The 9659-nt window shown below is 37.7% G+C and overlaps 1 long non-coding RNA gene across 1 annotated transcript in view; it reads right to left on the bottom strand.

Annotated features, from left to right (window-relative positions):
• The window catches only part of LINC02347 (long intergenic non-protein coding RNA 2347), a 30305-nt gene continuing 20646 nt past the window's right edge, over positions 1-9659 (bottom strand). Inside the window, exons 7-12 of the long non-coding RNA NR_130748.1 lie at positions 6797-7072; positions 6059-6237; positions 3679-4028; positions 2901-3054; positions 1971-2125; positions 1-200 (exon numbers count right to left, since the gene is read on the bottom strand). This is a non-coding gene — a long non-coding RNA (long intergenic non-protein coding RNA 2347). The remainder of the gene's footprint in view (positions 201-1970; positions 2126-2900; positions 3055-3678; positions 4029-6058; positions 6238-6796; positions 7073-9659) is intronic.

The following is a 9659-nucleotide window of genomic DNA, read 5'->3' as shown; positions in this document are numbered from 1 at the left end:
TGTTACTCCTTTCCTTGAAAGGTGAAGTTTATTTGATCTTCCCTTGAATTATAGTTAACATTATTAAGGCTCCGATGATAGAATATAGCAGAAATCATGTTCTGATAGCCCCTAAAAGATACTGCAAGGACACTGTCATCTTCTAATACTTCTTTGTTGAAATACATACTCTTGAAATGCTCCTATTTGGAGTTGAGTCACTGAAAAATTCCACAGAAGAATTATCTGCTGGAGAGAGAGCTCATTTGGGGGAACACAAAGGCATCAGACATATAAAATACTCAACCTTTGATATTTCTGCATCTAGTAGTTTGTGTCATCCTAGATGACACCCCAGACATCATGGAGCTTTGGTGAGTTGGCTCTACAGTGCCTTTGTCCAAATTACTCATTCATGATAACTATTTAATAATAATATGGTTTTATTACATCACTAAGTTTGGGAGACGTTTGTGACATAGACATAACCACAACACTCCCCTACATACCTCTATGGCTTCTGTGTGTCTTCCCTTCTTTTTATTTTTTATTCTTAAATCTGAATATTTACTACCAACGTATTTTTGAAATCACCAGAACTCTCTTTACCTGTGTCTAACATGCTTTTAAATATAATCACTATGTTTTTAATTCACTTATATTTTTCAGTTCTAGAATTTTCTTATATATACTTTAAGTCCTAGGATACATGTGCAGAACATGCAGGTTTGTTACATAGGTATATACGTGACATGGTAGTTTGCTTCACCCATCAATCTGTCATCTACATTAGGTGTTTCTCCTAATGCTATCCCTCCCCTAGCCCACCACCAACCAACAGGCCCTGGTGTGTGATGTTCCCCTTGCTGTGTCCATGTTTTCTTATTGTTCAACTCCCACTTATGAGTGAGAACATGCGGTGTTTGGCTTTCTGTCCTGTGTTAGTTTGCTGAGAATGATGGTTTCCAGCTTCATCCATGTCCTTGCAAAGGACATGAACTCATATATAGACCAATGGAACAGAACAGAGCCTCAGAAATAATGCCACACATCTACAACCATCTGATCTTTGACAAACCTGACAAAAACGAGCAATGGGGAAAGGATTCCACATTTAATAAAAGGTGTTGAGAAAACTGGCTAGCCATATGCAGAAAACTGAAACTTACACCTTATACAAAAATTAACTCAAGGTGGATTAAAGACTTAAACATAAGACCTAAAACCGTAAAAACCCAGTTCTAGAATTTTTATCTGAACTTTTATAAGTGAAATTTATTTGTGGACATTCTCCTTCTTCTCATCTTTTTCGCTGAACTGCCTCCACTTCTGTATCCTGTTCCTTTTTGTGTCTGGTGTTGGAATAATAAAATAAAAATTATAGCATCTGGATAAATCTGAATAGAAGATACTTTATATTAATAGAAGATAGTTTGTGTAGGAGATTATCAATTTTATCTAATCTGGAATATGGATGGATGTGAGGCTGGGTTTCAGTCTTTATACATCTGAGATATTGCTAGCTTTCTCATCCCTATAGGGTAAAATCCTTCAGAGTTCCCAATCTAATTCTGAGTTGTTCAATAGGATCCTTCTTTTAGGTGAATCCTACACTTCAGTTTCGCACCCCAGCACTGTAAGACTTGTGAAAACTCTAAAATTTAAGTTTTTAGCTACTGCTTTGTGCTTAGTTTTGCTGCCCTCACATATGACCTTGGTGACACATCAGTAAATTTGTTGAGAGGAAAATTAGCTCCAAACATTGGGCTTATTTACCCGATCTCCCTTCTCCATGTTATGCTGGCCCCTCAATTCATTCCTACCATGGCAACCATAACCTCAATTTTTTTTCGCCATCACTGTGAGATGACTAAAATCTCTGCTCACCTATTCTACATATTACACTTTCTATTCAGCCTCTCTGGCCTGCACCACTTAAAAATCTAATAAATATCTTAGAACGAAAAAACAACATAAAATTCTAGGCTCACCTTAATGAAGTTGCATTCTCTCTTTCTTGATCTTTCCAACTCTGGAAGCCTTGAGAGTTCTTTGATGTCTTTTAAAATGTCACTCTTTGGTGTTTTTGGTCAGATATTTTTGCTGTTCTCAATAGTACAGATAGTTTGGTATAAACTGGTGCATTCTAGACAGAAATGGAAGAGCCTGAATGTCACTGTTTTTAAAAGCTTTTAAAAGAACGGGTAGTGTTTTTCCTTGTTAATATAAATTGGCCTGAAGCCATCTCCCTCGTTTTGTTTTCCTAGTGTTCATTTTTTCCTTTAATTTATTTTACCAATTTAATATCAAAATCTAACTTAAAAACAAAATTATGCAGGACAAGAGATGAAATAATGAAGAAAGACTGTCACTCTCAGAATATTTTTATTCTGGCTTAGGATATAAAGCTATATCACATAAAACACACATCAGCTAATTTAAAACAATTGCATTTAATTAGGAGACAGTTACACTAAGTGTAGGAAAATGTGTGTAAAATAGTAAGTACCACATAGACCTTATCACTCTATGGAACTTGTCTTAACATTGTAATTCTGTATTTTAAAGTTAGATTTAGCATGGTTGGCTCCTGGTATGGTCTCTTTGACCCAGTATTACAATCCAGATTACCGTCTTTCACAATCTTTTAAGCAAATTCTGACATTATTGGAAATGGTTTTCAAGGCTGCAATTGGAAAAAAATTCCAAGATAAACAAGGAAAGAAAAAACACCAGTCTTTGTAGGATGAAGATAGTTCTTTATAATGACTGAGCATCCAAATTCACTCTGAAGAACTTTAAAAACAACTCATTCCTATGGAATTCTGATATAGTGGGTTGAAATTGCAGGTATCTAATAAGATCACTGATGTGTGGAAGCCACAGGATGGACGATAATGACATCATTGGCCAGCACTTACCCTGTTATTGAACATCAGAATGGTTGCTTCATTCACAAAGATTTGACCAAGGGTCTTCTCTGTAAAACCACCAGGTCCTTGACCCATCGCCATAGCTGACTGAGTTAGCGGTGAAGGCATTTTGTCCAAGCAAGGTCCATCAAGTTCTCTTCTCCTGACAATTGAAGATTATATTGAAGACATCTAGGGGATTGAGGCCAAGCCCCACAGTGGATGTGCTTGGAGAAAAAGAGCATGAAATCCAGACATTGGGGTATCCCAGCTCTTCCCTTCCTGAATCTTGTTCAACATTCACTTCTCTCAATTATCTGAGCCAAAGCCTTCTAAGATGTCTCATTTTAGTGTTAATTATCCAGAACTGTAACCAAAGAACCTAACTAAAAACTCACTGCTGAAAATTACTTTCAGAGATGCAAATACCTGATAGTCAGTCAACCGCAGACACTGAGGATTCAACAACCAAGACTGAAATAGGGTTATCAACTCACATATGGGCACCCGTGAGCTGACAGAAACCTAGACCCTAATGAGTAGCAGATGGTGCTTCTGAATAAAATGGTCAATTAGCTGTTTTGAAAACAGTTAGCATTCTAATGATAATAACCCCTTTTGAGAATAGGGATTCCTCACATGATAAGGACATTATTTCCCACTAACTCAGCAACCTAAATCTAAATGATACCAATAGTTGTAAGAATTAACATTTATCAAGCACTTACTTAAATGTGTGCCAAGCTTTCATGCCCATAGCTTTAGACATATAATTACATTTACTCACCACCGCCATCTTATGGAAAATATCTTCTCATTTTCTGGTTTTGGAAGTGAAAAACAGACAACAAACAAAAACCCTGAGACCTAAAGAGTCCACAGTCCATGGTCTCTTGGGTAGCAAGCAGCAGAGCTGGGATCTGAATCCACATCTATCTGACTTGGGAATCCACATGGGCAACCTCTACTTTTCACTGCTCCCCTGTGGAAAGAGGGCCTTTCGGGCTATAACAACGTGTAGTGTCATCTTCTTAGCATGTGGGTTGTCCTTTCCAAAGGAATAAAGTTGTTTTTATTCATGTCTCAGCATCCCATAAAGTTTCTTTTAGAAATCTGTGCTGATTACTCAGAATCAATCTGTAAATGTGATACTAAAATCAATATGTATTATAGATTATGAAATGCAAACATTGTCTTAGTAAATATTTATGACATAATGCCCTAAATTGTGTTCAATATTATATTTTGATTATCATTTTTAAAATTTTAAATCATATAACAAAAGTCTAAACAGGCAACTAATCAATAGCACTTGAAAAAAGTAGGATTCTACCTTAGAAGCTTGGGGTTAAATAAGATATGCATGGGTTGCAGACGGGGTGCACTGAAACTCCTTACAAAAGAGTCACTTACGAAACCCAGTTTGCAACACTGGATAAAATCAAATCAGGAATAATTTTTCAGGGACCAGATATTTGTATTCAAAATTTGGTCTACAAAAAAAACCAGCAACAACAACACATACACCCATTTAATTAATATTCCAAAATAAATTGTTACTCATTATAGTCAACCTGAATGAATGCAGCCTTTCTCTGGCATCTTTGTGGGATTGGACACATTGTGAGTTCCCTCACGAAATACTTCATAGGATGGTAAAATTCAACAGAAACTCTTGTCTAGACACAATCCCTGCTTGGTCACCCTGGAATGCATCACAGAGCCACACGCTACTCTAGTGGGTAGAGGTCGAGATGCTGTCAATAATTCTACAGTGTACAGGATGGCCTCCCAGGATGATAAGTCATCTGATGCAAAATGTCAATCATATCAAGGTGGATGATCTGGTTTGGCTTTGTGTCCCCACCTAAATCTCACCTTGAACTGTAATAATCCCCACTTGTCAATGGCGGGACCAGGTGGAGATAATTGGATAATTGGGGTGCTTTTTCCATGATAGTGAGTGAGTCTCAGGAGATCTGATAGTTTTATAAGCGCCTGGCATTTCCTCTGCTTGCACTCATTCTCTCTCCGGACACCCTATAAATAGGTGCCTTATGCCATAATTGTAAGTTTCCTGAGGCCTCCCTAGCCATGCAGAACTGTGAGTCAATTAAACCTCTTTTCTTTATAAATTACTCAGTCTCAGGGAGTTCTTCATAGCGGTGTGGGAACAGACTAATACAGTGGAGAAAGCCTGTTTTAAAGGTCCACTTCCCTACCTAATATATTTATTATTAGTTATTTAAAAAAATATTAAACACAGAACTGTAGTCCAGGCTGTTCTCAGAACTAAGGCTTCAGCAATGACAAGGCAGAGTCCCTGCCCTGAGATTACCTCCTAACTAGTAACGTGACCTTTGGCAAGATAAGTAAACTCCTGAAGGTTGGTCCCTTACCTGTAGAATAGGAGTACATAATAATATCTAAAGTGCACATTTTTATTAAGGATTAAAGAAGTTTATAGACAAGTTCTCTTTTGTACCTGCCCTCAAATCCCATGTCCCCTTCCCACCACCCCTTGGGAATGATTTGTAACATCTTATCTAAGGGACTCCTTTGGTTTTAGATACCTTCAATCATCGGTAGGTTCTTGATCATGTTTGATGAAAACATACATTTTAATGTTAGTCCCATCTTGTAATATTCCTTATTTTTTGCTTTTTCACATTTGCCATGGGAGTTGCTGGTGCAAACAACAGGTGGAAAAGTTCAAGGGCAAAAGGAAGACTTGCTAAATATAAGTTTCTCTGCCATCAAAACCCATCTGTTTGTCAACAACACTGGCAGAGTGGCCATAGTATAGCAGACATTGAAGCAGGCTCTGCAAAGTGCATGACCATTATATAGACAGATGAGACAGATGGCCCCATGGAGATAGAAATCCACAGCAACTCTGAAGCCATGTACAACTCTCAACCTAAGTTCCAAAAAATCTTCCACGGTGTTTCAATTTGCAAAAGAGAAGTATAAGCAGATCCATAGAAATTAAAAACAAATACTCTCCAAATCTCTAAACTTTGTTCAGTGATGTAAAATGATCTCTAAACTTTGTTCAGTGAAATAAAAGTACTTAATCTGCTATAAGGTCTAGGCAAGTCCAGAAAACTTGCCCCTTGGTATGGCAGTGGGACAGCATCAAATCCTCCCAGCTGTTCAGTGCTTACAGTAAGCCTGGTGGCATGTCTCAATCCTTACAAGAGCCAAGAGAGGTGGATGCTGTAGAGATGAGAATGGTGTGGCTCAGCAAGGCTGAGGAGTGGGTGCAGCCTCTGTGGTGTAGACCTCCTTAGACCTTCTTCAGCACCAAGCATAGTGCCTTCAATTATTCAATCTTTAATGTTTTCTAAAAACAAAGATATGCATAAAGACCTATTTTCACAGAGTCAGGAGTCAAGAGAGATAGTCTATTACTTTGGGTGTGTACATTTTTAGATTACTTCATCTATTGCTTACAAAAAGACCGCTGGATTTCTAACATAAATGTGGTCTAGGCATATGTGTCCCCATTTCCCTGATGGACTTTTCCTAAGCCAATGTACAAGCTCCTCAGACTGAAAGAAATAACAGTTTTGCTGACCCTGTGTTGAGAGTAATTACTCAACATTTGATAAGAAGGCATAATAGGTTGCCCCAATTCAGGTAACAAAAGAGGTCAGGGTATCAGAAGCGGTTCAGAGACCCGTTTGTGGGTGCACACTTTTCTATCCGTCATATCTCTGTGTAAGAATATCAAAGTGTAAAAATGTGACTCTGTCTTGAACTTCTTCTACTCACATGGGTGAGATGAAATTTTAAATATTAATGGTTAAAGCAGCTGAGAAATGATCAACTAACTATATATATAATATAAAAAGACAGTTCACTTGAAATCTGAGAAGAGAATGTAAAAATGCAGTACTTACGTTTGAGGTGTTTTTCTTACTTTCAGATTCTAAAGGTTGAGAACGTTGGGTGTGATGTGACAATTCATTTTGCACCAGCGCTGCTGTCAAGGCCTTCACCCAGATGTCTGTGTTGAGGTCCCAGACTTCAGAAAAATGAGAGAACACGTCGACCAGGATGACAGAGAGAAATCCCAAAGCCATATGTGAAAGTTAATTTCTCCACTGGCCAGGCAGCAGGAGTCTGAGAGCCTCGATTTAACAGCTTGAATTTGAATTGAATAAAGCCTCAACCAGCTGCAACAAAAAGTGAAAGATTTCTGAAAAGTAACACTGATAATTGTGGATAAATTCATTGTGCTAATTAATCTTACTCTAACAGTAAAGTAATTTGATTCAAGTATCTTCCACTGAATAGGGCAACATAATGGACAGTGAAATATACACCTTCGATTGGTAAAGATTATAAATTAAAATTTTGATTTGTGTTTCCTTTGCTTTCAACTTTTAGTATAACCCATGGAGATTAAATTGGTCATTAGAAGGCACACTACATACAGTTTGGTACCTGAATACAACGACAAACAGACATACATAATTTTAAAAAATTTTTCAGTATTCCACTGCCTAATTTCTTTTTCTCTGCAAGAAAATTGTAGTTTTCAAAGCATTTGATTTTGCAATGACTTATAACTAAATAATAAGCCAATCTTAGAATGTGTCTTTTAGTGAACATATGTTCTCATTCATGTTGGCAAATATGTAAGGATGAAATGTTGGTTGTCAGGTATACATATATTCAGCTTTAGTAGGTACTGCCTAATAATTTTCCAAAGTATTTTAACAATGTTAATTAATATCTTGTAATGTTAATGTTATAAAGAATAATGTTTTCTCCTTTTCTGCTGATTATTTGGGCTAACATATTGCATTCTATGTTATTTTTTCTTGGAAATGTGGCCTCTATGAAATGAATGTAGATGCTTTTATCCTACTGATCATTGAACTCTGTTCCTAAAGGGAGTTGATACCCTCTGTGGCACTCTCATCTGGCGACAGACATCCTGAGTTTTATCTATTTCCTTCTCTTATGAGTAAGATAGTTAAACTCTTTGTGTTTCAGTTTTGTCACCTGCAAAATTGGGATAATAACAGTTCCGACCTGATGGTGATGTAGTGTGAAACAAATAACATTATATATAAAGTGCTTAGAAAAGCACTAGACACAATGTAAGGGCCTGAATTATGGGTTAACGCAATAATTATAACTGCAATAAACTGATCAGTGGAATACCATTTTATTTGCCATTTTTCTCTTGGCTGTCTTGCCAAAAAGTAATAAAATAAGGTGTGCTAGCTACTTCTGGGAAATAGTTGTCTCTCTTTAAAAAGAGAGAGATGGCTGGTCACGGGGGCTCCTGTCTGTAATCTCAGCGCTTCAGGAGGCTGAGCGGAAGGATCGCTTGAGATCAGGAGTTCAATACCATTCTGGGCAACATAGCGAGACCCCTGACTCGACAGAAAAAATACCAAAATAGTTAAGTGGGCATGGTGGTGCATGCCTGTAGTCCCAGCTATTTGGGAAATTAAGGCAGGAAGTCTCCTTGAGCCCTGGAGTTTGTGTAATGATGCAATCATAGCCATGAGCTATGATTGCATCATTACACACTCCATCCTGGGTAGGAGAGCGAGATCCTGTCCAGAAAAAAAAAAAAAAAAAATAGAGAGGGAGAGAGCTGCATAAGGAAAATATTTTTGCTCTGCTCTCACTATAGATTGGAAGTTGTCAGGTGTGGGAATGATATCTGGAATTTCAGCAGCCACGTTTGACCATGAAGAGACAAGAGTGAATAGAAAGCCAGAATCCCAAAATACCCCTATTGGAAAGGAAAGTCCGGTTTCCTGAAGACACCAGAGATCTGTGGACACAACTTGCATTGACCTGCCTTTGCATTTACTGTTAAGTACCCAGTAACCATAACTATCATTAACCTGTCTGTTAGGTGTGCCATGTCTTGCAGGCAATGTATCCTAAGTGATATAATTCAAAAGCCAGAAGGGGTAAAGACATCCCAAGGTACGTAGGAAAGAGTTTTCAGATGTGCCATCACTCCCCCTCCTCACTCCTGAAGAGAGGCCTCAGGAGCAAGCCAATCATAGCATTCAATACAAATGTACAAGATTGCAGTCAACATCTCCTTCATTCTTCCTTCCCTCTTTCTTCCTTTGCTGGCCTCTTTTCTGCTCCTCAAGCACACCAAGCATCCTCCTTCCTTAGGACCTTTTCACTTGCTATTCGCTCTGCAGAAAGTTATTTTCCCCAGATGACCCACGCCTTTCTCACTCATGTTCTTCAGGTGTTCAAACATCACCTGTGGGACAGGAGCCTTATGTGTGTAAACTAAATCAAGTGCAAGCACTTCCCCTCACTCTCTATTGTCCTTGCCTTGTTTTATATACATCGGCACACTCATCACAACCTGACAATCCATTAATCGTTTATAGCCCCTTCCATCATATTATCAACTCTCAGGAACTTTGTTGTTTATTTTTTGCTGTATCTCCGACATGTATAAGAGTGCCTAGTACATAGAGGGTGAACAAGAAAAATTTGTTGAATAAACTTCTTCAACAGACATGTATTAAACACCTACTAGATACCAGACACATAAAATAATTAATTAGATCTGATGAGCTATCAGTTTGATAGTTAATTTGAAAAGTAAAGATATCTTAAGGGAAGCTTAAAAATCATATTCTAGACATAGAATAAAATGCATTATACAACTTTAAAATGCATTTGACCTTTGAAATAAAAATATAAATAGCAAAGAATTCGTGTTGATTAATGACAGTTGGTGATTTATAAGAGCTCCCTATTACT

This window comes from Homo sapiens, chromosome 12, assembly GCF_000001405.40.
Source record: "Homo sapiens chromosome 12, GRCh38.p14 Primary Assembly".
Lineage (NCBI taxonomy): Eukaryota > Metazoa > Chordata > Mammalia > Primates > Hominidae > Homo > Homo sapiens.
Note: the sequence above shows the minus strand (reverse complement) of the source record. Positions and strands in the feature narration are given on the sequence as shown.